General features: G+C 57.1%; 1 protein-coding gene across 1 annotated transcript, besides 4 other annotated features; it reads left to right on the forward strand.

Moving 5' to 3' along the window:
• Nucleotides 139-655: a silencer, noted in NCBI's record as "fragment chr21:45526826-45527342 (GRCh37/hg19 assembly coordinates)". NCBI's record gives its function as "represses an EF-1alpha promoter that drives an FKBP-Casp9 reporter gene in an ReSE screen in K562 erythroleukemia cells {active_cell/tissue: K562}" and the evidence as "EXISTENCE:reporter gene assay evidence [ECO:0000049][PMID:32094911]".
• Nucleotides 246-629: a silencer, noted in NCBI's record as "silent region_13211". NCBI's record gives its function as "represses an Ori minimal core promoter by ATAC-STARR-seq in GM12878 lymphoblastoid cells {active_cell/tissue: GM12878}" and the evidence as "EXISTENCE:reporter gene assay evidence [ECO:0000049][PMID:35858748]".
• Nucleotides 593-24375, forward strand: PWP2 (PWP2 small subunit processome component). Its single transcript, NM_005049.3, has 21 exons — nucleotides 593-628; nucleotides 2178-2290; nucleotides 6947-7041; nucleotides 7373-7472; nucleotides 7819-7962; nucleotides 8458-8593; nucleotides 8885-9114; nucleotides 11014-11157; nucleotides 11957-12027; nucleotides 12581-12717; nucleotides 13542-13690; nucleotides 13825-13972; nucleotides 14146-14296; nucleotides 15371-15551; nucleotides 17774-17921; nucleotides 19205-19313; nucleotides 20094-20159; nucleotides 21126-21344; nucleotides 21441-21591; nucleotides 21746-21820; nucleotides 23791-24375. The coding sequence occupies exons 1-21, from the start codon at nucleotides 611-613 to the stop codon at nucleotides 23963-23965; spliced, it is 2760 nt and encodes a 919-aa protein (NP_005040.2). The 5' UTR covers nucleotides 593-610; the 3' UTR covers nucleotides 23966-24375.
• Nucleotides 4307-4509: a silencer, noted in NCBI's record as "fragment chr21:45530994-45531196 (GRCh37/hg19 assembly coordinates)". NCBI's record gives its function as "represses an EF-1alpha promoter that drives an FKBP-Casp9 reporter gene in an ReSE screen in phorbol 12-myristate 13-acetate-treated (for megakaryocytic differentiation) K562 erythroleukemia cells {active_cell/tissue: K562(+PMA)}" and the evidence as "EXISTENCE:reporter gene assay evidence [ECO:0000049][PMID:32094911]".
• Nucleotides 7182-7476: an enhancer, noted in NCBI's record as "tiled region #9823; HepG2 Activating non-DNase unmatched - State 12:CtcfO". NCBI's record gives its function as "activates a minimal TATA promoter and a strong SV40 promoter by Sharpr-MPRA in HepG2 cells {active_cell/tissue: HepG2}" and the evidence as "EXISTENCE:reporter gene assay evidence [ECO:0000049][PMID:27701403]".

Raw genomic sequence — 26182 nt, forward strand, 5'->3', positions numbered from 1 at the left:
CTCCTGCCTCAGCCTCCCGAGTAGCTGGGACTACAGGCATGCGCCTCATTTTTATACTTTAGTAGAGATGATGTTTCACCATGTTGGCCAGGCTAGTCTCGAACTGCTGACCTCAGGTCATCCACCCGCCTCAGTCTCCCAGGCGTGAGCCACCGCACCGGCCAGCATTCGGGACTTTATTCATAATTCCTTACCCAACAGTTCACAAGAACGAAGACATTTGGGTGTGCAGCGCTCTCATGTTGTGGACGCTGCTGTGCCAGGCTGGGCGTCCGTGCGGAGCGCGCCCAGCGCTGGAGCGCGCCTAAGAGGCGCCCTGCAGTGTGGCTCCGGGGTGTGGGCGGGGCCCGGAGAAGGCCCCCGCCTTGGGAGGGGTTGGGCCTCGCGTTCAAACTCCGCCTCGGGGCGGGGCGAGGGCGACGCAGCTCCTCCTGCCTCCTGGGCCGCTGCGGACGGTGGTGCGCGACCCCGTCCCGGGCGCGCGCGCTGTGGGCGGTGCACGCCGTCGCTTCCCGGAAGTGCGTGCTGTGGGCGGTGCCGCGCGGACCCCCGGGAAGTGTCTCTGTGGGCGGCCGCCGGGTTGAGCTGCGGCACACGTGCGACGGCCGTGATGAAGTTCGCTTACCGGGTGAGCGCGGGCGGCGGGCGGTCTGTTGGATCGGCGCGGCTCTTCCGGTGGACGGCGCCTGAGCTGGCTCCGGGCGGGCTGGGGGCGCGTGGTCTGCTTTTGCGGCGTCTGGCCGCGTGGGGGTCGCCGGCTGTCTGCGCGCCCGTGGCCTCGGGGACGCGGGGCTGTGGTGGGGCTCCTGGGAGAGCTGGGACGGAGGCGCCGACGGCTTCTCGGAGGGAACAGGGACATTTGTCGGGGTCCCGGGATATTTTTAACCTGAGTATGGCCCAACCTAAAGGCTGGAGTTGGTGCAGTCGGGGAGGGCACAGCACCCTCGGGAGGGATGAGGAGGTGGGACGGGGCGGGGACGCGGGCGCGCGCAGGCGGGGTGAGAACAGCAGGGACCCGGGGCCCGGGACTGGTCCCTAACGAGCGAGCGTCCAGGTGAGCGGAAGGGCGGGGAACCCAGGTGTGAGCTCTGTTTCCCGAGGCCGGAGGGAATTCCTGAGGCGGACGCCCTCAGCTTTGAGAGCCAGGGAAGACTTGTCCCAGATGTGAAGTGCAGGAGGCGGGTGAGACAGGTAATAAGAGGGGGCCGTGGAGCCGGCCTGGGGGTCTCTGAAGCGTTTGCTACAGCTGGCCGGTTATGGGGACGCCTGTGTTTCCCACAGTGGCCCTGACCGTTGCGCTTCCAGGGTTGCACGGGCCGCCTGCTGCTGAGCCCACCGTGTACTACACTTGTCCTGTCCGAAACTGGGCATGGTACTGGCCCCTCAGAGTGCTGCTCCTGTGTCCCCTGTGCTGGTGGAGCCACCGCTGTGTGCCCAGCACCAAACCAGAAACCATATCCACGTCCTCACAGGCCAGGACTTCATCCGCTCCACATTCCTACTGCAAGGTGGCAAAAAATGTGCCTTGGAGCCTGCCTGGCCGCTTAAAGTCCTTCTGCTGACCAAGCTCCTCCCTGAGGTCCTGAGGGCGCTGCCCACTCACAGCTTCAGGGCCTGGCTGGTGCCTTCCCATTTAGATTCCAGCTCAGGTGACCCTTCCAGGTGCCTCTCCGTGACCACCGTCTAAAGTAGCCCCTGCTCCCACACTTCTCATCCCCCTCCTGCTAGAGAGAGAATATAAGGTGTGCGTGTCTGTGCGCATGGCAGTCTCCAGTGAACGCTCGTGCTCGTGAGTTAGTAAATAGGATGCTGGCTTACCACACTTCTGGAAGCCCTGAGTTCTAAGCACTTTTGGGGTGCTGTTCCATTGTTGCAGCTTTTTTCTTGGTGAAGTGTGGGCTCCATGCCCCTCTTCACCTGGCAGACGCCTCCTGTCTTGGGAGGCTTCCTCAGTGCTCACAGGGGCATCTTACCCATCTCTGTGGGAGCTTGGGGCCGCCCGGGCTCCTCTGGTCTCCTGAGGATCAGGCTCACTTCTTCCTCTCTTACCCAGGAAAGGTGAACGGGCCCCCAAGGTGGGGTTCTCTATGCCATCTCTCTGCCCAGATGCCTCACTTAGTGCTTTTCTGGGAGTCGACTGTTTTCTTTGTGTTAAGACAATTTTGTTTTCTTCACAGTTTTCAAATTTGCTGGGTACGGTGTACCGGCGTGGGAACCTAAATTTTACCTGCGATGGAAATTCAGTTATCAGTCCCGTGGGCAATAGAGTCACTGTATTTGACCTTAAAAAGTAAGTATGTGAAAGTGGTATTCATAATAGTGATACTGATTACTATTATCACCATTTTTTAAGTAACATATGAAAACTGATAGTGTCTTCTGTGCCTTCCTTTTAATGGTGCACCCGTTAATTAAGGGAGCCCAGGACAGGACTACAGGACAGACTAGGGTCAGCAGATCAGTTGTGGAAATTGGCAGCCAGACCCAGTTCTTCGTTGTAGTGCCTTAGCCAGGCCCCATAAAGTGGTGTGTCACTTGGCTCCGTTCTGTGGGAAGGGACCCTGTCCCTGTGCTGTGAAGGGTGGGTGGGGGAAAAGGTGTAGCTCAGGGTTAGCCCTTCCCCCATCAGGGAAGGCCCCTAAGGGCTGAAAGGCCAGGGCTGCTGGGGGAGTTGAAGGTACCTTGGACCCCTGCTCGGGAGCCCTGCTGCCACTGGGCCTCACCAGTCGGACGGGCAGGCCCAAAGCTTCCAGCTCTGCAGCCGGAGGTCAGTTTTATTCGCTGGGGTTTAGCGGTTTCTTCCTGTGTGCTGTTGCACTTTGCTTCACTTTGTTGCACTCTGGCTCTGTGCGGATGCTGTTTTACCACGAAGCGAAGGTGTGTGGAAACACTGCTTGGAGAAAGTTGGTCGGTGCCATTTTTCCAGCAGTGGGGGCTCACTTCATGTCTCTGTGTCACATTTTGGTAATTTTGTGATATTTCAAAGTTTATTATACCTGTGAGGGTGATTTGTGATCATCTTTGCTGTTGCTATCGTGATTGTTCTGGGGTGCCGTGATCCGTGCCCATGTAAGACAGCGAGCTTAATCGGTAAGCACTGTGTGTGCTGTGCCTGCTCCACCGACCGGCTGTTCCCCACCCCCCCACGTCTCTCTTCCTCTACTTGGGTCTCCCTATTCCCTGACACAAACAATGCTGAAATTAGGCCAGTTAATAATGGCCTACAGTGGCCACTACGTGTTCATGTGAAAGGAAGAGTCACACAACTCTCACCTGAAATCAGAAGCTAGAAGGGACTCAGCTTAGTGAGGAAGGCATGTCAAAAGCTGAAATAGGCCAAAAGCCAGGTCTCTGCCACCAAACAGGCAAGTTGTGAATGCAAAGAAAAAGCTTTTGAAGGAAATTAAAAGTGCTACTCCAGTGAACACACAAATTACAAGAAAGCCAAAATAGCCTTATTGCAGATACGGATAAAAGTTTGAGTGATCCAGATAGAAGATCAAACCAGCCACAACATTCCTTTAAGCAAGTCAAAGCCTAATGCACAGCAAGGCCCTACCTGTCCTCTGTTCTGTGAGGGCTGAGGTGAGGAAGCTGCAGGAAAGAAGTTGGAAGCTAGCAGAGGTTGGTTCATGAAGTTTAAGGAAAGAAGCCATCTCTACAACATAAAAGTGCAAAGCGAAGCAGCAAGTGCTATGGAGAAGCTGCAGGAAGTTATCCAGAAGATCTAGCTGAGATCATTGATGAAGCTGACTACACTAAACACAAAATTTCAATGGAGACAAAACAGCCTTCTATTGGAAAAAGATGGCCAGGCGCAGTGGCTCATGCCTGTAATCCCAACACTTTGGGAAGCCAAGGTAGGCAGATCATTTGAGGCCAGGAGCTTGAGACCAGCCTGGCCAATATGGTGAAACCCCGTCTCTACTAAAAGTACAAAAATTAGCCAGGCATGGTGGCACATTCCTGTAATGCCAGCTACTCAGGAGGCTGAGGTGGAAGAATTGCTGGAACCTGGGAAGCAGAGGTTGCAGTGAGCTGAGATCGTGCCAGTACACTCCAGCCTGGGCAACAGAGCAAGACTCTATCTAAAAATAAATAAATTAAAAAAAAAGAAAAAGATGCCATCGAGGACTTACATAGCTAGAGAAAAGTCAGTGTCTGGCTTCAAACAACAGGCTGACTCTCTTATTAGGGGCTAATGCAGCTGGGGCCATTAAGTTGAAGCCAGTGCTAATTCACTGTTCTGAAAATCCTAATGCCCTTCACAATGATGCCCAAGCTACTCTGCCTGTGCTCTATAAGTGGAACAGCAAAGTCTGGACGACAGCACATCTGTTTACAGCATGGTTTCCTGAATCTTTCCAGCCCATTGTTGAACCCACTAAGGTTCCTTTCAAAATATTTCTGCTGTTGGACAACGTACCTGGTCACCCATGAGCTCCAATGGAGACGCATAAGGAGATGCTGTCTTCATGCCTGCTAACACCACATCTCTTCTTCAGCCTACGGGAGTAACTTTAACTTTCAAGTCTTACCATTTAAGAAATATATTTTATAAGGCTCTAGCTGCCAAAGATAGTGATTCCTGTAATGGATCTGGGAAAAGCCAATAAAAAGCTTTCTGGGAAGGAGTCGCCATTCTAGTTGTCATTTCATGATTCATTCAATGAGGGCAAAGTGTCGACATTAACAGGAGTCTGACAGAAGTTTAGTATCAAGCCTCATGGATGACTTTGAAGGGTTCGAGACTTTGGTGGAAGAAGTTACTGCAGATGCAGTAAAGATAGCAAGAGGATTCGAAATGAAAGCAGAGCCTGAAATGGGACTGAATTGCCGCAATGTTGCCATCAATCTTGAATGAATGAGGAGCTGCTGCTTGTGGATGAGCAAAGCAAGTGGTTTCTTTTCTTTTTTTTGAGACAATGTCTCACTCTTGTCCCCCAGGCTGGAGTGCTATGGCATGATCTTGGCTCACTGCAACCTCCACCTCCTGGGTTCAAGCAATTCTCCTGCCTCGGGCCCCCCTACCAAGTAGCTGGGATTACAGGCGCCTACCACCACGCCCAGCTAATTTTTGTATTTTTAGTAGAGAAGGAGTTTCATCATTGTTGGCCAGGCTGGTCTAGAACTCCTGACCTCAGGTGATCCACCCGCCTCAGCCTCCCAAAGTGCTGGGATTACAGGTGTGAGCCACCATGCCCGGCCAGCAAGTGGTTTCTTGAGATGGAATCTACTTCTGGTGAGGATGCTGTAAAGACTGTTGAAATGACAACAAAGGATTTAGAATATGACATCAACTTAGTTGATAAAACGCTGGGAGCATTTGTGAGGATTGACTCCGGTTTTGAAAGAAGGTCTGTTGTGGGTAAAATGCTATCAAACAGTATCACATGCTACAGAGACATCTTGTGAAAGGAAGAGTCCATCGATACGGCAAGCTTCACTGTTGTGTTAGGAATTGGCAACGGCCACCCCGTTTTCAGCAGCTGCCACTGTGCCTGGTCAGCAGCCATCCACATCGAGGCAGACTGTCTGCCAGCAAAAAGATGAAGACTCACTGAAGGCTCAGATGATTGTTAGCATTTTTTAGCAGTAAAGTGTTTTTAAATTAAGGGATGCACGTTGTTGCTTTAGACAGAATGCTTGTGCACACTGATAGACTACAGCACACATGAGTAGACTGCAGCGCACACCAATAAAGTACACACTTCGACGACAGTACACACGAACAGACTACAACTCACACGAATAGAGCACAGTGCACGCTTACAGACTACAGCACACGCTAGTAGACTACGCCGTACTGTTTACAGTATGGTGTAAACACAGCTCGGCTGCTTATGGGGAAGCTGGAATGTGTGTGCCTCACTCAGTTGCAGTGTAAGCGTTATCTGCAGCATCTCCGCGGGATTCCTGTAGCCCCTTATTTTCCATTTTTCTAGCAACAGTGTTACATGGGTGCACTGTCATGGTGGTTAATTCCTGTTGGGCACTTAGCTTGCTTCTGGTATTTTGATGTCACACTGAGGCGGAATAATCCTCTCATCATATCATCCTGGAAGCAGAATTGATGTATCCAAAGCCCATTTTTAAGGCTTTTAATGCATTTCACTAGAGTTCCTCCAGGGACAACGTCATTTCTTTTTCTTTTTTTTTTTGAGACAGAGTCTTGCTCTGTCACCTAGGCTGGAGTGCAGTGGTGCGGTCCCAGCTCACTGCAACCTCTGCCTCCCAGGTTCAAGCGATTCTCCTGCGTCAGCCTCTTGAGTAGCTGGTATTACAGGCGCCCACCACCACGCCTGGCTAATTTTTTGGGTTTTTTTGTTTGTTTGTTTGTTTTGAGGCAGAGTCTTGCCCTGTCGCCCAGGCTGGAGTGCAGTGGTGCAACCTTGGCTCACTGCAAGCTACACCTCCCGGGTTTACGCCATTCTCCTGCCTCAGCCTCCTGAATAGCCGGGACTACAGGCGCCCGCCACCACACCCGGCTAATTTTTTGTATTTTTAGTAAAGACGGGGTTTCACCGTGTTAGTGAGGATGGTCTCAATCTCCTGACCTCGTGATCCGCCCGCCTTGGCCTCTCAAAGTGCCGGGATTACAGGTGTGAGCCACCGCGCCTGTCCAATTTTTTGTTTTTTGTTTTTATAGTAGAGACGGGGTTTCACCATGTTGACCAGGCAGGTCTCGTACTCCTGACCTTATGATATGCCCGCCTTGGCCTCCCAAAGCACTAGGATTATAGGCGTGAGCCACCGTGCCCGGCCAACAATGTCATTTCTTTTTCAGGAGTGGGGGGTATCCACAGATGAGCTCTGGCTTGTGGGGTCCAGTAAGATTGGAGGCGCTACTTGGGGAGGGTGAGCCGCTGGTCCCAGGCCAGGCCTGGCCTGTCTCCCTCATGTGACTTGAGGACCAACAGCACACTGTGGTTTTTGTCTTTATCAGCAACAAATCTGACACGCTGCCCCTGGCCACTCGGTACAACGTCAAGTGCGTGGGGCTGTCCCCGGATGGCCGCCTCGCTATCATCGTCGATGAAGGTACTTGCCCTTGATGTGGGCGGGTACTGAGGGGACCAGTGAGGAGGACTCAGGGCTGTGTGGGTCTGAAATGATCCGCTCCCCAGTCGCCTCCGTGTTGGGGCCCGGGTGGGGATTGGGGATGAGGGTGTCATGGGCGAGGCTGCGTCCCCGCCGCAGGCTGTGTCTGTGGCATCACCTGTGGCAGGGCAGGGCCTCATGGCCCTTGGGCATTCTCAGTCCTGACTCCTCACAGTGGACGCGAGAAAGACCTTTCTCCGTTTTTCCCGTGCTATGTATCTGGGGTGGCCCCTGGGGTAGCTGCGCGGTGGTGACCTCTGGCGTCCTGCAGGGGGCGATGCGCTGCTGGTCAGCCTGGTCTGCAGGTCTGTGCTGCACCACTTCCACTTCAAGGGCTCTGTGCACAGTGTGTCCTTCTCCCCTGATGGCAGGTAAGGGGGACAGCTTGGGGGCAGGAGGGTTCGGCCGTGCATGCCGACGGTGAGGCCCACTGCCCAGCTCGTTTCCCTGGGCCCCGGGTTGTGACGTTGGGTTGGGCACACGGCCCAAGCTCTGGCATTGGTGACCCCCTTTTCTGGAGGAGAAGGCTTGGTGCGGCCAGGCTGCCCTCCCTCCAGGGCTGTTTCTTCCCTGACTTTTGCTTCCTCTGCTCCTTGGCCTCCATCCTGCAGGAGGCGGGACTCCAGAAGGCCCAGGTGGGTGCAGGCTGAGACTCCACAGTGGCCTTAGGGCCATTGCTGGTCTTGAATATCAACTATGTCCGCGTTCCTTCCATAGGAAGTTTGTTGTCACAAAGGGTAACATTGCCCAGATGTATCATGCCCCTGGGAAGAAGCGGGAGTTCAACGCCTTCGTTCTGGACAAGACCTATTTTGGGCCCTACGATGAGACCACCTGCATCGACTGGACGGATGACTCCAGGTGCGGCCTCAGAGGCTTCGGGGGAGCGGGGCTTGAGAGAGGCCCCTTGGACAGGTCACCCCCTTGGGCCCTGCAGCTTCGTTCCGCAATGGCATCTCGGCCTCCTTTGGGGCTGGGCGCTGCCCACACCATCAGGACTGGCTGGGTGGCTGTGGTCGAGTCTTTGCGGCTCTGAAGTGTGTGCTGTGGCCGAGCCTCCTGCCCCTGCACTGCCCTTTCACCTGTTTGTCCCAGAAACTGGGAATGCTGTGGTTGGCTCGGGCAGCGTCTGGGAGGAGTTAGGAAGGCAGACAGGGCAGGGACAGCGTCTGGGAGGTGTGAGGAAGGCAGACAGGGCAGGGGCTGTGCCGGGGTGTCTTCCTGTGCCTGGAGGCGTCTCAGCTCACTCTGAGACCACGTGGGGCTGTAGCGGTCTCCGTGCAGCCCTCTGGAGCTTGCACCTGGCTGCTTTGTTATGGCCAAGCCCTGAGGAGGTGCCATCTCCCTCTTTTCCAGGTGCTTTGTGGTTGGGAGCAAAGACATGTCCACCTGGGTGTTCGGAGCCGAGCGCTGGGACAACCTCATCTACTATGCACTGGGGGGACATAAGGATGCCATCGTGGCCTGCTTCTTTGAATCCAACAGCCTGGACGTATGTCCCTTTGCCAAGTTCCCTAGCCTGATGGTGGCCAAAAGCGGCTAGTTCAGGGAGGCCCCAGGCTGCAGGCGGCCTCTTCCTGCGGTTCCCCCAGGCTGTTCCCGTGTGGCCTGGGGGCATCTAGGGACCGATGGCAGCTGTGGCGGCCCATCGAGAATTGTTCTCAGAGTTCAGAGGGGCCGTCGGTGCCACTGGTCCCTGGATCTGAGCTGGAGGGAGGTGCCGGGTTGTGGCAGCTGGGCCAGTGTGGCTGGGGCTGGGGTGACCCTGTGCTTCCCCTTGCAGCTGTACTCACTCAGCCAGGACGGAGTGCTGTGCATGTGGCAGTGTGACACGCCCCCCGAGGGCTTGCGGCTGAAGCCCCCTGCGGGCTGGAAAGCAGACCTGTTGCAGCGGGAGGAGGAAGAGGAGGAGGAGGAGGACCAGGAGGGCGACAGAGAGACCACCATCCGGGGAAAAGCCACTCCGGCCGAGGAGGAGAAGACAGGAAAAGTGAAGTACTCACGGCTGGCCAAGTAGGTCTCTGAGGTGTGGTGGGCTGTGGCGGGGCACTCCTGTGGGAATCTCTTGCCCCCAGAGGGATCTGGATGTGGGGTCCCCAGGGCCGAGGAGTGGGAGGTACAGAGAGCAGGCCTGCGTCTCAGGGCCCCGGTTTGAGCACCCTCGAGTGCTTGGGTGTTGACCCTGCCCCTTAAGCAGGGTCCCTGCCTCGGCTGTCTGAGCTGCCTGTGTGCCCAGGGCAGGGCAGAGGGCGGTGGGTAGGGGTGCATAGGGGGCAGGGAGGTGTGCGGGCACTCCGTGACGGGAATAGCAGCACCTTGGGCCCTAAGGGGGTTGGGAGTTGTCTGTGGCCCCACCAGCTTCTGTGGAGTTTGGTGTGGGCGATAGTCCCTTGGCCTCGTGCAGGGAGATGCCGGGAGAGCATTTGGCAAGGGTGGAGGGAGGGACCGGGCTGTGAGTGGGCGCAGCGAGTGGTCTGAGTCCTGCTTCGGGGCCCGCTGGTGGGTGGTACTTGGTGCTTTTTCAGGCACTGAGCTGGGCCGTGCAGCCCCGCATCCGGACTCAGTCCCCCAGACGAGACGAGATGAGATGAGACTGAGCCCGGCCCCACGGACTGCCTGTGGGATGGCCTTAGCTGTGCCTGGAGCCCTGGCAGAGATGCTGCCCTGATTCGGGGTGTCCCGCGTCTGGGCTGTGGGGGGAGGCTGGTCAGGATCACATGAAGGCAGAGTTGCCCGCAGCTATGGTGTCTCCGTCACCCGGGTGCCCCAGCCTGGGCCCCTCCTTGCTGCAGTTGCTTAGCGCCTGCTGTGTGCAGGGCTCTGAACTTGGCACTGAGACACACTGCCCACCCTTGTGAGGCCTCCTCTCCGCCGGGGAGGAGAGGTGCAGTGATGAGGTGGCTGCGTGCGGAGGTGGGCGGCAGTTGGGGTCCCTGGGTGGGGAAGGCGCCCACACAAGGCCCTGCCTGTGGAGGGAGCCAGGCGGCCAGAACGGGCTGCCTTTGGAGGGGTTGGGGTCTGCTGGGTAGGTGGGAGTTGTGGCCATGAGAGCCCTGGGTCTGAGGAGCAGGGAGGGCCGGCTGGACTCCAGTGGGAGGAGGGTGCTTTGCCAAGGGCAGCGGAGTTGGAGGGTGGCCAGAACAGGTCCAAGTGGGTCAGTGCCCACAAGTGAGTCAGTGCCCGCGGGTGGGTCAGTGCCCGTGAGTCCGTGCCCGTCAGTGCCCGCGGGGACTTGGGGGTGTTGTGCTGGAGTCAAGACTTGAATGGGGACTGGAGGAAGAGGAAGGGATGATGGGCCCCCCAACCCCGCCCTGGGGAAGGGAGGTTCCAGGCAGCTCCAGGAAGACAGTGTGCCTGCTAGGCGGGGACTGCGGGCTGTCAGCGCGAAACATGTGAAGGGAGGGCCTGCTGCATTGGCAGCCAGTGCTCCCTGTCACTTGTTCAGGAGGGACGGGGTCCAGAAAGGAGAGGGAAGGACCAGGGCTGAGCTACAACGTGACTTGGGGAGGTTTTGAGGGCGGGGGTGCCATCAGGGTCACCTTCGTCTGCTGATGGGGACCGAGGGTTCCTTAGAGGAGGAAGCAGCAGGGGATGATGGGATTCGGGTGTGCCTGGCGGCCATGCCGCGCCTCCCGCACCTCCTCTGCCTCCCATGGGCACTGCTGTCTCTGGGTGCACCACTAGCTCTGCTGTGGGGCCAGCTGGCGACAGTGGAGATGCTGTGTGAGGTTCCTTTGGGGTCCCGAGCTTGGGATGGAGGCGGGCAGCTTCAGGGCCTGGGGTGGAGAGGGAGAGGGCAGGTCTGGGACCTCCTGCCTGGATCTGTGGCCTGTGTCCTGGAGCCCAGAGCAAGCTGGGGTGGCAGTCTGGCTCTGCGCTCCTCCTCACAACTCTTCTCTCTCGTCAATTCAGGTACTTCTTCAATAAAGAAGGGGATTTTAACAACCTGACAGCTGCAGCATTTCATAAGAAGTCTCACCTCTTGGTCACTGGCTTTGCTTCTGGAATCTTCCATCTTCATGAGCTGCCAGAGTTTAACCTCATCCACTCCCTGAGGTAAGCCTTTGCTCGCAGTGGGGTGTGGTTTTATGCACTCACTGGCCCTGAATCTGAGGGCCCAGCCAAGCCTGCCCTTAGCAGTGGGGGCAGCAGAGCCACTTGGAGCGCCGGCTCAGGCCACAGGACGGCAGCCCGAAACCTGCCCGGCCGCTGGTGCTGGTCAGTGCGACAGTGTTGCCGCCCCCACTGGCAGTCAGCAGCATTGGTCTCGGGTCAGTCACAGCCTTTCAAGTTTTTGTCTCCGCTTTTCTTCATCTGTGAGACACAGAGAACGAAAATACTATGCTCATAAAATTGTGAAGTTGCAAGTTGTTGAACCCTGGCCTCCCCTCTGGGCCTTCTCTGATTCTTTTCTTTGAGACAGAGTCCTGCTCTGTCGCCCAGGCTGGAGTGCGGTGGCGTAATTCGGTTCACTGCAACCTCCGCCTCCCGGGCTCAAATGATCCTCCCACTTCAGCCTCCTGAGGAGCTGGGGCCACAGGTGTGCGCCACTACACCCGGCTAGTTTTTAAATTTTTTGTCGAGACGGGTCTTGCTGGGTTTTCCCAGCCTGGTCTTGAACTCCTGGGTTCAAGCAATCCTTGCCTCCGCCTCCCAATGTGCTGGGATGACAGGCGTGAGCCACTGCACCCAGCCCTCTGATACTTGAACTGAAGTGAATTGTTGGAGTCTGGTGAGTGGGTGGGGTAAGCTCTGCACACAGGGATAGAATCTGGTGTCTGGGGCTGCCCTGAGTGGGCACTGGGGCTTCAGCCCGGGCAGGCTGGCCTCCCACTTACAGGCCCGTTCTCTGCAGCATTTCAGATCAGAGCATCGCCTCAGTGGCCATCAATAGCTCGGGGGACTGGATTGCTTTTGGCTGTTCAGGTTTGTCCCCCGCCTGGGTGGTAGAGATGGACTCCCCATTAGGGACCAGTGCTGCCCGGCTACAGGCATACTTGACAGCCACCCACTGGGGGTGCCCTCCCCTCCCCCAGTTGTCTTCCATGGGGTGCCCTCTCCCCCAGCCGCCTTTCAGAAGGGGCCCTCCCCTCCCCCAGCTGTCTGCCATGGGGTGCCCTCCCCTCCTCCAGCCACCTTTCAGGGGGTGCCTTCTTCTCTTCCAGCTGCCTCCCAGGGGTGCCCTTCCTGCTCTGGCCCTCCTCAAGCACCTCTCTGTCTTAAGCCCCTTGCTCAGGGGTCGGGGGTCATAGCCTGCCTCAGTTGTGACCTGCAACCACTGGGTTGCACGGGCGGGGCCCATCACTGGCTGGTGAAGCTGCAGCATCGGGCAGTGGTCCCAGCCTATGCTTGGGGGTTTGTGCGTTTCACCCCCTGCCCGGCAGCTTTCTCAGTCCTGTGCCAAGTGGGAAGGTGGGCCGGGCCAGTCTGACCTGGGGTGGGCCTGAGCCGGGTACCCCAGCTTCCCCCGTGTGCACAGGCCTGGGCCAGCTGCTGGTGTGGGAGTGGCAGAGTGAGTCCTACGTGCTCAAGCAGCAGGGCCACTTCAACAGCATGGTGGCCCTGGCCTACTCGCCCGACGGACAGTACATCGTGACTGGCGGGGACGACGGCAAGGTAGGCTCCTGTCCCCGTCCCGTTGGCCTCTGTGCCTGGGGGGCTGTGAAGATGCAGTGGTCTGTGGGGCCGTGTCTTGACGGTAGGGCTGGTGTTCACAGCTTCACCCGGGCTCATGAGCTCAGTAGGCGTTTAAAAACATACAAAAATGTGAATGGAGAGGGTTGGGTGTCCCTCTTTCCCCTTTCTGACTTGGTCTCCTGCACGGTGGTGGCTGCGTGGCGGGGAGAGGGTCTGTGGTGCCGGCAGCCGGCATCCAGCCAGTGTCCAAGGGGCTCCAGTACGTGGCCGAGGGTGGGTCCATGGTACTGGCAGCTGGCATCCGGCCAGCATCCACAGGGTTCTGGTGTGTGCAGTGCCCCTGCGGGCCATCTAGGCCTTAAATGGGCTCCTCCTGGAGGTGACAGGAAGAGACTGGGGCAGACGGCCCACTCACCACCCACTCAGCACAGCCTCAGGCCTGTTGGGGAGGCTGAGTGAGCCAGGGCAGCCGTGGGCACAGGGGCAAGGCTCTCAGGATGTGGCGTCACATGCGGGGGTCTCAGGGATGGGGTGTCAGTTGCAGGTGGGGGTCTCAGGGATGGGGTATCAGTCACAGTTGGGGGTCTCAGGGATGGGGTTTCAGTCATGTGCGGGGATCTCGGATGGAGTGTCAGTCACAGTTGGGGGTCTCAGGGATGGGGTATTACTCACGGGTAGGGTCTCAGGGATGGGGCAGTACAGGGGCAAGCATCTTAGGTGGGGCGGCATGGGGACAGGGATCCTGGCCGAAGCCGTGGCACACAGGGTTGGGGTCTGCCCCCGCCCCTCCTGTCCTGCCTCAGGTCAAGGTGTGGAACACCCTCAGCGGCTTCTGCTTCGTCACTTTTACGGAGCACTCCAGCGGGGTGACCGGTGTGACCTTTACTGCCACCGGCTACGTTGTGGTGACCTCATCCATGGACGGGACCGTGCGAGCCTTTGACCTTCACAGGTGATGTTTTTGCTCCGGATTGGCTTGGGGCAGGCTTCCCCCACGCAGAGGTGAAGGTGGAGGGTGAGGCTGCAGTGCAGCTGCTGGGGCAGGGGACCCTGGCACGTGACTCTGACCTTGCCTCTTCTCTGCAGGTACCGAAACTTCCGCACCTTCACCTCTCCACGCCCCACCCAGTTCTCCTGTGTGGCGGTGGATGCGAGCGGTGAGATCGTCTCTGCAGGGGCGCAGGACTCCTTTGAGATTTTCGTGTGGTCCATGCAGACAGGCAGGCTCCTTGATGTAAGCACCCTGAGGGGCTGGGCTGGGGCTCAGGAGGGGCCCTCCTGTCTCCTGGGAGAGGAGCGCAGGGAGCTGAGGTTACACTCCGAGGGCCCATGCCCCTGGCCCAGAGCTGCCCAGAGAGCCGCCTCGGCCGCCACCTCCACTCTTCACGCCTCCTTGCTCTACGGTAGGTTTTGTCTGGACACGAAGGGCCCATCAGTGGTCTGTGTTTTAACCCAATGAAGTCCGTCCTGGCCAGTGCCTCCTGGGACAAGACAGTGCGCCTATGGGACATGTTTGACAGCTGGAGGACCAAGGAGACGCTGGCCCTGACCTCTGATGGTGAGCACGAGGCAGCAGGCAGGAGCAGCGGCCTGGGGACCAGCAGCATGCTGTCACACCCACTGCCCTGTTCCTCGTTGTGGGTTTGGTGTGAACCTTCTGGTGGGAAGCAGGGGGTGGCTTTTATCCAGACCTGCTGGTGTGGCAGCCCTTGAGGTTGGCAGTACCTAGGAGACAGCAGATTGGCGAGTCAGGCCAGCGTGGCTTCCACAAGTCCTTGTGGGGCTCCCGCTCTGTGGGCAAGTACGCCAGGCAGGAGAGAACAGCTCCCCGAGGGTGAAGGGCTGCTGCCGCAGCTGCTTCCTGATTTTCGGAGTTGCTTTGGAGCTCTGCCAGGGCTGTGTCACTGGGAGAAGGACACAGGGACCATGGGGGGCCCAGACGCTGGATGCGGCCAGTCCCGGAATCTGCAGACTGGGAGAAGGATGAGGGGGCCATAGGTGGGCCCGGAAGCCAGATGCGGCTGCCCAGGGATCTGCAGACTGGCCTCAGGCCACTGCCTGTCTTTCTGACGGGGCTGTACTAGAGGCAGCCGTGGCCTCCTGTGTTCATATGGTCTGTGGCTGTCAATGCCTCAGCGGCGGTGTTGAAAGACCACGTGGCTCACAAAGACCCAGCCCATCCATGTCCGGGTGTGGACAGACTCTGCCATCCCAGGAGGCTGGTTCTCTCTGCTTCCCGCTGCCTCACCCCACCCCCAGGCCTGGCATTGGCCAGGCTTTTGGCATCACATGTGGCTTCTTTGCAGAGGCTCTGTATTCTAGTCTGTCCAGCCGCCCTCAGTAACCACCATCACTCACCCATCAGCCTCACCTTCCCAGCGCCCCCTCCATCGGCCTTTGTGGGTCCTGTGGCCCCAGCTGGACCGCCTGGTGCTCTTCACTGGCGCTGAGTTGTTCCTCACCTGTCTGGGTTGGAGCTTCTCCTGGGAGGAGATTCTTGTGTACCAGACCAAACAGGCGCTGGTCTCTTAGGGGTGCCAGGGCACGGCCTGGTCTCCAGCCAAGGGTGGTTGGTGGCCTGCCTGCGGGAGACTGGGGTCTTCGTTGGGCCTTACTTTGCATCTCTGTTTAGCTCTGGCTGTGACTTTTCGCCCTGATGGTGCGGAGCTGGCTGTGGCCACACTGAACTCACAGATCACCTTCTGGGACCCTGAGAACGCGGTGCAGACGGGCTCCATTGAGGGCAGGCATGACCTCAAGACTGGCAGGAAGGAGCTGGACAAGATTACAGCCAAGCACGCGGCCAAGGGGAAGTGAGTGTCAGCATCGGGCCTCCTGATTTGAGACCCCAGCCAGCCACCAGGCTCCTGCAGCTTCTCCATTTTTGGCCTTGTTCTTTGTTCCTGAGACCGCTGAGTCCCTGTGGGTGGAGGCAGGTGGTCCTGAGCCCTCTGGGGAGAGTCCATGTCCTCCTTAACTCCTGGGATCGCACAGCCCCCAGCACAGGAGGACGTCTGGATTTACTGAACATAAACTTGTTCAGCTGAGAGCTTGCATCCACTTCCAAACCTTGATCCTGAATTATGACATCGTCCTGGTGTGCAGAGGGGAGAGCAGCCGGGTGCCCGAGCTCACACTGGAGACCTGGCACTTGGGGAGGCTGAGGCGGGTGGTTTGCTTGAGCCCAGAAGTTTGAGACCAGCCTGGGCTACGTGGCAAAATGCCATCTCTACAAAAAGTAGAAAAATTAGCCAGGTGTGGTGGCACATGTCTGTGGTCCTAGCTAGTCGGGAAGCTGAGGCAGGAGGATCGCTTGAACCCGGGAGGTCAAGGCTGTAGTGAGGATGGCGTCATGCCATTGCACTCCAGCCTGGGTGCTAGAGCAAGACCCTGTCTCAAAAACAAAACAAACAAAAGCAGAAAACAGCCCTGGCAGCCTCCTAAGAGTAAAAATGCAGGTCCTCAGTCACCTCACTTGACTAGAGAGTGCTACGTGGATGGTGAAGACATAGTGTCCCCTTGTCTCAAGGAGTCGGGCCAGCACAGCACTGACCAAATTGCCTGCGCGGGGTCCTGGCTGGGCTGTGAGGCTCAACTGGGTGGGGGTCAGGCTTAGGAGAAGGGGGAGGATCTGTGGGATGTGCCCGGGGTGGGTGGCCTTGGGGGCTGGACCTGTGTCCCAGGAGCTCAGAACCTGTTCAGCAGAAGGTCTTCCTCCAGAAAGAAGTAGCGACCCTGTCTTGGAAGTGGTATGAATGCCTGTGTGCAGTCCTCATGGGTTCGCCCTGAGTGTGGAACTGCTGGGTGCTGGTGGTTCTGTTTCCAGCTTGGAGGAGCTGCACGGTTGCCATTCCCACGAGGAACGCTGTCGGCTTCTGGCTTCTCCACCTCCTCGCCAGCACTTGTTGCTTTATTATTATTATTTTTTTAATGAGAGCTGTTGGGGTGGATGTGAATTCGTATCTCATTGTAGTTGTGATTGTGGTTTCTCTAGTGACATTCAGCATTTTCTGTCTGCGGCTTGGCCGTTTGTAAGTCTTCTTTGGAGAAGTGTCTGTTCAGGTCTCTTGCCTGTTTTTGAATTGGGTTGTTTGGATTTTGGTTGTGGATTTTAGGGGTTTCTCTGATACCTGATGTGCAGATATTTGTTCCGCTTTGTGAACTGTCTTTCCACCGTTTTGGTGGCACTCTTAGTTCTGATGATGTCCACTTTGCTCATTTTTTCTGTTGTTCTTTGTTCTCTACTGTCATAACTAAGGGACCTTGCCCACCCCGAGGCGTCTGTTGAGCGGGGTGGTAAGGGCTGGTTTCTGGTTTCTGCAGGACTAAGCAGACGTGACTGAGAGTAGGCTGCTTAGGGTGGAGGCCGACTGGTCGCCGTTTTGTGCTGACCTCAGCAGGGAACACTGTTCCTTGAGCCACTTGTTCCTTTTGTGAAAAAGACATTGATTCTCAGGAAGCGGAAGCATCTAAGGGTGGTGCTGGCTCAGAGCGGAACCAGGTGATGGCACCATTGGACATTGTGGGTTTTAAAAGTCTCGCGTGAGTTGAGGCAGCGAGCCTTGGCGAAAGTTGCTGAGGCTGGTGTTTGCTTCCTGGAGGGCTGGTATAGGATCTCCTCTATTTCCTAAGGTTAGTTTTTATTTTATTTATTTTTATTTTTATTTTTATTTTTGATTTTTGACACGGTCTCGCTCTTGTCACCCAGGCTAGAGTACAGGAGTGCAATCATGGCTCACTGCAGCCTCCAACCCCTGGGCTCAAGTGATCCTCCCACATCAGCCTCCTGAGTAGCTGGGACTACAGGCATGTGCCACCGCACCCTGTTAATTTTATTTTTTGTAGAAACAGGGTCTTGGTATATTGTCCAAGCTTGTCTTGAACTCCTGGACTCAAGCAATCTTCCCAACTCAGCCTCCCAAAGTGCTGAGATAACAGGCGGGAGCCACCATGCAGGCCTAAAGTTGGTTTTTAGGAGCCATACGCTGAGGTTTCCGTGGTGGCCACCGTAAGTCCATGTCTCCTCTCCACCCAGGGCCTTCACCGCCCTGTGCTACTCTGCAGACGGCCACAGCATCCTGGCGGGAGGCATGTCCAAGTTCGTGTGCATCTACCACGTCCGTGAGCAGATTCTCATGAAGAGGTTCGAGATCTCTTGCAACCTGTCTTTGGACGCCATGGAGGTGAGCCGCCAGCGCGGGGCCGGATGGATGTTGCTTCCAATGCAGGTGGAATGCGTCGGGCTCCTGCGTTCTGCACTCCTGGCTCCATGGGGCCTTGGGCACAGTTGTGGTGCTTGTCCTGTATCTAAGTGCACGGGCCCCTCACCTGCCCCAGCAGAGTCCGGCCGTGAAGCCAGCACCTGCCTCAGCTGTGTGTGGAGCCACGGTCCCCAACCCTTTTGGCATTTGGGACCGGTTTCGTGGAAGGCAATTTTTCCACAGACAGGGTTGGGGGGATTGATTTTGGGATGAAACTGTTTCACCTCAGATCAAGATCACCAGGCATTAGATTCTCAGAAGGAGGGTGCAACCTAGATCCCTCACGTGTCGTTCACAATAGGGTTCGCACTCCTGTGAGAATCTAATGCTGCCACTGATCTGTCAGGAGGCGGAGCTCAGGTGGTGATGCGAGCAATGGGGAGCGGCTGTAAATTCAGATGAAGCTTCACTCATTCACCTGCCCACCACTCACCTCCTGCCGTGCAGCCTGTTTCCTAACAGACCATGGGCCAGTACCAGGGGTTGGGAACCACTGCTGTGGATGACCCTGCCGAGGCTGGTTGCTAGGAGGCTGGAGCTGTGAGGGGCAGTGCCCAGCACACGCTGGCTCAGGAGACACGGACATCTGTCAGGGAAGGAGTGAACGAAGAGGGTGCTGGTAGGCCCTGCCCGATGGCTTCCTGCCCGGGGTCCTGTGTACAAGGCTCTGCCTTCACTGTCCCCACTGGTGCCTGCCCTTCCCCCTCAGCACAGCCCTCGGCTCAGGTCCCACTCACATGCTGGCTCCTGCAGGACCTCAGAATGAGAGTGAGGAAGCCCTGGTAGCCTCTAAGCAGGGGTGTGGCTGCTGGGTTCACCTGTCCACGCCCCATCGGGGCAGAAGCCCACTGTCCCCTAAATGTTTCTGGGGGAAAGTGTCCTTGGCATTTTCACAAGGGAGTAGACGGCCATCCTCGCTGTGAGCCCCAGCCTTTGTGATGGTGGCAGCAATGCCAGCATGTAGACCTCAGTCCATCCCCCTCCGCAGCCTCCGCACCTGCCCTGCTCCACAGCTTCCACACCCACCCTGTCTGCAGCTAGCTCTGCAGGAAGAGTCCCTGGGGCACTGCAGGGCTCTCTCCCCGTCCTTGTTCTAGACAGGGCTGAGGCTTGTCTGGTGTTGGGGTCAAAGAGCAAGGGTAGGAGACGAGGGCCAGGCGGCCAGGCCATCAGAAGCAAGGCGTCCACTGCTTTTGCTGTTCTAGGAATTTTTGAACCGAAGAAAAATGACAGAGTTTGGCAACCTGGCACTAATTGATCAGGATGCTGGGCAGGAGGATGGAGTCGCGATACCACTGCCAGGCGTCAGGAAAGGTGAGCAGAGGTTCCTCCCGCATCTGCCCACCACTCACCGGTCCTGGGTGACCACGCATTCATGCCCCTGGTTGGGGCTGCAGTGTGTGGAAATAACAGTTACTACATGGTGACATTTGCTGGACACTGGGGGTGTCAAAGGCCCAGTGGGTTGGTGCTGGTGCCGTCAGCCCCTGGGCAGGAGAAGCTGCCCATGTGTTGCTACACGTGGCCTCCCTGCCCTGGCGGGACCCGTCCATTTGCTCTTGGGACTGGGTGCCCCGTCTGCTGCACAGCACACGGAGCATTCTGGCGTGAGGCCATGTGCGCCGCACAGAGAGCCAGGTGCTCTAGAAGATCTGGGTCCCAGGTAGACCATCCTGATGGGACACTCGCCAGCCAGAAACCCTGAGTGCTTCCATATGCAGGCCCAGGGTACCGTGTTGAGCACAGCAGACCCACTCCTGGGCTGGGCTGGGGCCCTTTTCTGGGTTGGACACACAGTCTGCTGGCCGGGCTGGCTTTTTTGAGCATCTGCCCCATGGGCTGGGCCATCTGTTTGGCAGCTCACCCGGAACAGCCTCCGCGGCCCCAGCACGGGCCCACCTGCCGCAGCTGCAGCGAGGGAAGGGCTGCTTCTGCCTCCGCTTTGTGCAGGACCCAATGAGTAGAGGCTGCTGCTCTTGATGGGGCTCCCACAGCACCCCCCAGCCAGCCGGGAGACCGCAGGATGACTTGCTTCGTGGGGAGAGCAGCCTGGATATGCTGTCCAGTGATCATTAACGGTTCTTTTTTCCCCAGGTGACATGAGTTCTCGGCACTTCAAACCTGAGATCAGGGTGACCTCACTCCGCTTCTCTCCCACTGGTGAGCACTGAGCCATGGGCTTTTGGTGCCGGTGGGCACTGGGGCATCTGTGCCATAGCAAGGCTGGCCACCATGGAGCTGTCTGCAGGCTCTGGGCTGTGCCCTGTGCCCCTGGGTAAGAACATGGCCCTGCAAACCCTGCAGGCCACAAGATGGCTGTTGTCCCTGAGGATGGATGGCTGTCACGGTGCCAACCTCAGATGCACTGAGCTTTGAAACATGGCAGGCCTGGTATGCCCTTGCTCTAGCAGCTCCCCGAGTGCCCTGGACGTGCTGCCTGGGGGCGGCTCTGCCATCACGGAGAGCCCGTCTCCTGCGCACTGCCCCCATCCTCTCGCAGTGGGGAGGAGGGTCTGTGCCACAGGCCTGTGGAGCCTGGCGGTGCACATGGTCCCCACACAGAGGAGCCAGGAGCAGGGCTATTGGCAAGCGTGCTCCAGCCTAGACTGAGTGTCAGAGCCAGGGGCAGAGAGGCCCATGTGAGCCAGGGGTCTGTGCCCTCGGGCCCAAGGGCCAAATCTGGCTGGCCACCTGCTTTGGTCACTGATGTTTTACTGGGACATTTTACTGGGCGTTTTTTTGTTGGCGGATCCTTCTGGCTGTCTCTAGTGATCCGTGCAGCACTGAGTAGGTGCAGCAGAGACCACAGGGCCTGCGGAGCTGAAGACGCCTGAGCTAGACAGAAGACTTGGCTGGCTCCCGGCGTCAAGAGAGGAGGACGCATGCGTGTACATATTTGCTTATATGTGCATCCCTGGGAGAGTAACTTCTGGGATGATCCATTCATTCCTTCCCAGGGGAGTAGTGGGGTGGGGGCTAGAGGCAGACGTCCCGGTTCCTCCTGATTTTTGCACTTTGTCCCAGGGGAATGTACTTAATACTGTTTCTTTAAAAAAAAAAAAAAAGAAAAAAAATGTTGGGAGGAATGAGCTTAAATTTTTAGGAAAGCACTGCTTAATTTCCCAGGGCGCTGCTGGGCGGCCACCACCACGGAGGGACTCCTCATCTACTCCCTGGACACCCGCGTGCTCTTTGACCCGTTTGAGCTGGACACCAGCGTCACCCCCGGGAGGGTGCGCGAGGCACTGCGCCAGCAGGACTTCACCAGGGCCATCCTCATGGCCCTCCGGCTCAACGAGAGCAAACTGGTGCAGGAGGCCCTGGAGGCGGTGCCCAGGGGCGAGAGTGAGTTGGGGCTTCGGTGTCGGGCGCCGGGGTCATCCTCTCTTCCCCTGGTTTGAGTTGGTGGCAGAATAAGCATGATTTTTTCTCCTTTTGCAGTTGAAGTGGTCACCTCCTCCCTTCCTGAACTGTATGTGGAGAAAGTGCTGGAGTTTTTAGCTTCCTCCTTTGAAGTGTCTCGCCACCTGGAATTCTACCTCCTCTGGACTCACAAACTGCTCATGTTGCACGGACAGAAGCTGAAGTCCAGGTAGAGGGTCTCCCCCGCAGTTCATCGGTGGCTCAGGTCACTGGACCAGCTTGTCCTGCTGGATAAAAGGGAACTTTGACATGCCAATGCAGCATGAAGTGAGCCCACTGTACCACGGGGTGAGCCCCGCACGCTTAGGGAGTCTCCCTTTCAGAGCCGGGACGCTGCTGCCTGTCATTCAGTTCCTCCAGAAGAGCATCCAGCGGCACCTGGACGACCTGTCGAAACTGTACGTGTGGGTGCAGGGCCTGGGGGTGGGTGGGGTGCACGGTCCCCTGCTGGTCCACACTGTGGAGTGCTCCTTGTGTCATCTGATTTGAGGACAAAAGGAACCAGTGCTGGAGGCTTGTCTTCTCACCTGCGGGTGAACTGCACCTGCCCGGCCACCCCGTGGTTGAGCAGCTTGGGAAATGGCCTGGCGCTGAATGGAAAGCAGTGAGCACTGTGGCAGGCAGACAGGCTGCAGGTGGCGCGCTCCAGGTGCGGCCGGAATCCTCCAGGCTCTTGGAGGGATTGCCGCATTCGTAGGACCAGGCAGCCTTTCCTGAATTTGCAGGTCACTTGCACAGGCAGTGGGGGTGGTCACAGGACTGTGAGGCCAGGCAGCCTGGAGTCCTGGAGGTGTGGCTGCCCTGAGCTGTGGCTCCCCTAGAAAAGGGTGCTGTTGCTGCTGCTGCGAGGATTCATCCGCGGGCCTAGGACAGGGCCTGGCCCTCCGCAGTGCTCACTCTGCAGGGGTGCCCGCCTCTTCTCCTGTCATTTCTTTGTGGTTTGTGCCTTTTTTGTCCCTACCAATTCACCTTCCCTAAAGGTCCTGCAGAGCCGGGACTAGGCAGGCCTCAGAGTAGCCATGTGAGGGATATCACCCTCTGTTGCCAATCAGTTGCCGGGTTTCCCAGCTGCGTTTCTGAACGGTCTGTTCTCTGTCCTGTTTGCGAGTTGCTCTGTCCAGGGTTCAGGGGCAGAGCCTGAGTTTGGGCCTTGTGGGTTCATGTGGTCCTCCTGTCTGTCCTTGAAGTGTCACTCAGTCTTTGGAAAGAGTCCTGGAGTCCAGGTCGAGCCTGTCCTCCCCTCGTGTTCTGGGTGCCCTACAGAAGGCTGGGATGTGCCCTGATCCACAGTTTTGGTGCCAGGCCTTCCCTCGGCTGAGATGTCCTGGACTTTTCACAGAGCTCTGTAGGGGAGGAGGGTTGTCTAGCTCCCTTATTTATGTATTTATTTATTTTTTAATTCATTATTATTATTATTATTATTTGAGATGAAGTCTCGCTCTGTTGCTTAGGCTGGAGTGCAGTGGCGTGATCTCGGCACATTGCAACCTCTGCCTCCCAGGTTCAAGCAATTCTCCTGCCTCAGCCTCCCAAGTAGCTGTGGTTACAGGCACACGCCACCACCCCCAGCTAATTTTTGTATTTTTAGTAGAGACAGGGTTTCACCTTGTTGGCCAGGCTGGTCTGAAACTCCTGACCTCAGGTGATCTGCCTGCCTCTGCCTCTCAAACAAAGTGCTGGGATTATAGGTATGAGCCACCATACCCGGCCCAGCTCCTTTAGATTTATTCCCTCTTATGGGATGTTTTTAGAGTTCACGTAAGTGCATTGTTCCTTGGACCTCCTGTCTAGGCGTTCACTGCCAATCTGTAGGGTTGCCATTGGCTGTCAGGAAGAGTCCTGCACAGAGGGTCCTGTGCCCTGCAGATGCGATGGGGCGCTTCCTTCCTTTCTCATCCATTTATCTTTCAGTTCTCCTTTCCTATGTAAAGTGATGGTGGCATCACTTTTCTCCTTTATTCCATTAACTCAGAAAATTAACTGATTCAGAGCGTGCCTTCCTCCCCTCTCGCTCCACAACACCACATAGCTCTGCAGCGGTCTCTTCCTAAGTGTTTGGTGGAACTTGCTGGTGAAGCCATCTAGATTGGGCCCAGCGGAAGGGCTGAGCTGCCAGGATGACCCCAAAGGGATGGGATGTTACAGTTGGGTCCTTGGGTCCTTGAAGGCCTTTGCTGCCCCAGGGCTGGATGGGGCAGAACCAGATTGTTGGGGCAGGGAAAAGAGGAAAAAAATGGCTGCTGGGGTGGAGGAACCGGCATGTCCAGCCCCTGCTGCTTTTCTCAGGGGTCACAGAGGAGGTGGTTGGGTGCAGGACAGGCCAGGGCCTGGGCGTTGCTGGCATTGACCATCCCTGTGTGATTGACAGCTGTAGCTGGAACCACTATAACATGCAGTACGCACTAGCAGTTTCCAAGCAGCGGGGCACAAAACGCTCCCTAGACCCGCTGGGAAGTGAGGAGGAGGCAGAAGCATCTGAAGATGACAGCCTGCATCTGCTTGGAGGAGGAGGCAGAGACTCAGAAGAAGAGATGCTGGCCTAGAGCCAGCCGGTTGCAGCGTTGGATTGTGCCGGCTAAGACCTGCCAGGGAGATGGGACCCTTGTGCCACCTGGGCCAGCAAAGAGGAGGGGTCCAGAGAACAGCTGAAATACTGTCACTAGTGGTAGTGACTTGCTTTTCCTGTGCACACATGTAGCCCATCAGGACAGCGAGCCGACGGGTCACGCCAGGGGCCGGCACGCACTGGCACCTGGCCCCAGGAGCGGGGCCGTGTGAACGGTGATGAATGTTGAAAATGCGTCTCAGAGAGGTATTCACATGAACTTTGTATGAGACTTATTTATATCTTTAACATAAAGGTTTGATAAAGAACTTAGGGATTAAAAAAAAGATGGAGTTTTCTAACGTGAGGATGAAGTCTACACTTCAGATTAAAAAGGGTTATGTTGTATCCTGCTGTCTTGTGGGGGCTCAAGACCTGCCTGCCTTACCACCAGGGCCTCCGTCCTGGGGAAGCAGGCTGACAGAGCAGGGTGCTCCTGCTGTCTAGCGGGGGCTCTGCCTTGTGACCTGTGCATATCCTTGGGGTCAGGGGCACAGAGCCTCTCCCTGACCTCTTGGGGATGCTTTGGAGTCTGGGGCTGGGATTGGCCTGTCTTGGTGAGCTCACTCAGACCTGCACCAGCTCTGCGTGGGCCACACGGAGGAGGAGACAGCTCCTCCCCTCTGCAGTGCCCTTGGGAATAGTCATCATGAGAGAGGCTTGGGTCTCCATCATGGTAGGGCATCCTGGTCCCCACAGCTCAGTAACAGCAGCCTCCAGGGTCAGGACCTGAGGCTGACACTGAGGTGGGCACTTCACCGACTGCCAGTGCTGTCTGCCAGGCCCAGCCTGTCCCTCGCCAGCGGTGTGGCCCCCAAGACCCTGGGTAGTACCTGGCTCCCTTGCTTATCTGGGAAGTGGAGCTGATATCTGCCTGCCGGCCTCCCGGGGGTGGCGTGAGGCCAGATGTGCTAGAGAGTGGAGATGAATACGACAGGCAGTGCCTTGTGGCCCACAGCACTGTACCTGCAGGCCTGCAGACCAGAGGTCTTTGTAGAAGGGAGGAGCTCAGGCCCTGATGACACCAGGTGTTCTGTGGCTGCACAATCTCCGTGACCCAGACGAGAGAGAATCCTTAGCTATCGCCTACCCAAAGCACAAGTTCCAGTGTTCCCCTCCCTTGCCTCGCCCTTTTCCGTGAAACAATTTCCAGCGTTCCCCCTCCTCGCCTCACCCTTTTCTGTGTCACATGTGCATGGCGATGGACACCTGAGTAGTCGCCCCTGGGACAACTGGAGCTGCGGCTCTGCAGTGGGGTCTGGGAGCTCCCGGCCAGGGGCAGCTCCCGCACACTTGGTAGAGACAGGGTCCTGGCCCCCACACCGACTGAGTGAGAGTCTGCATTCGGCATTTCCTTTCTGAGTGGCGCTTGGTGTTTTTTTGTGCCATCCCACAACCCCATCGCTCCCACCAGCTGATGCTCCCTGGCTGGCCGCTCCCCAGGAGCTGAGAAGCCTGAAGAGGGCCAGGCACGGAGGAGCAGGAACGAGGACAGTCAAATGTGCCAAGCTTGTCTTTGGTTGTAACTGGTAATGTCCCATGTCTGTTATTCTAGTTCCCCACTATCTTGCAAGGATTGGCAGTAAAGTCCTAGTGATGGACAACGCGGCAGTGGGGAAAGTGACAGCCGTGGCTAGATCATCAGATGTGTCTGTAGAATCCGGTGTGTCCCTGTGAACATCCGCCAGCAGTAACCATTCACATTATTTCAAAAACCTGCATTATTAGGTTGAAAATGGGTAAATCGGGGAAAAAGCCAGCACTTATCCAGCTATTCCTCTGTGAACTAACCCATGCATAACAAACAGATTTTTTTAATGGAAGAATTCCAGCTAGGACCCGAGCAGCTGGGATCTTCACACTGACCGTCCATGCTGTGAACGTAAAAAACAAAAACAAAAAAACAAACCCAAACAGCGCCCGGGAATGGTGGCTCACGCCTGTAATCCCAGCACTTTGGGAGTCCGAGGCGGGCAGATCACCTGAGCTCGGGAGTTCAAGACCAGCCAGACCAACATGGAGAAACCCCGTCTCTACTAAAAATACAAAATTAGCCTGGCGTGGTGGCGCATGCCTGTAGTCCCAGCTACTTGGGAGGCTGAGGCAGAAGAGTCGCTTGAACCTGGGAGGCGGAGGTTGCGTTGAGCCGACTTCG

Source organism: Homo sapiens, chromosome 21, assembly GCF_000001405.40.
Source record: "Homo sapiens chromosome 21, GRCh38.p14 Primary Assembly".
Taxonomy (NCBI): domain Eukaryota; kingdom Metazoa; phylum Chordata; class Mammalia; order Primates; family Hominidae; genus Homo; species Homo sapiens.

Coding starts and splice junctions, on each gene's coding strand:
- PWP2 (NM_005049.3), top strand. Junction 2,291..6,946: donor ACTGTATTTGACCTTAAAAA/GTAAGTATGTGA, acceptor TGTCTTTATCAG/CAACAAATCTGACACGCTGC. Junction 13,691..13,824: donor CGAGCCTTTGACCTTCACAG/GTGATGTTTTTG, acceptor TCTTCTCTGCAG/GTACCGAAACTTCCGCACCT.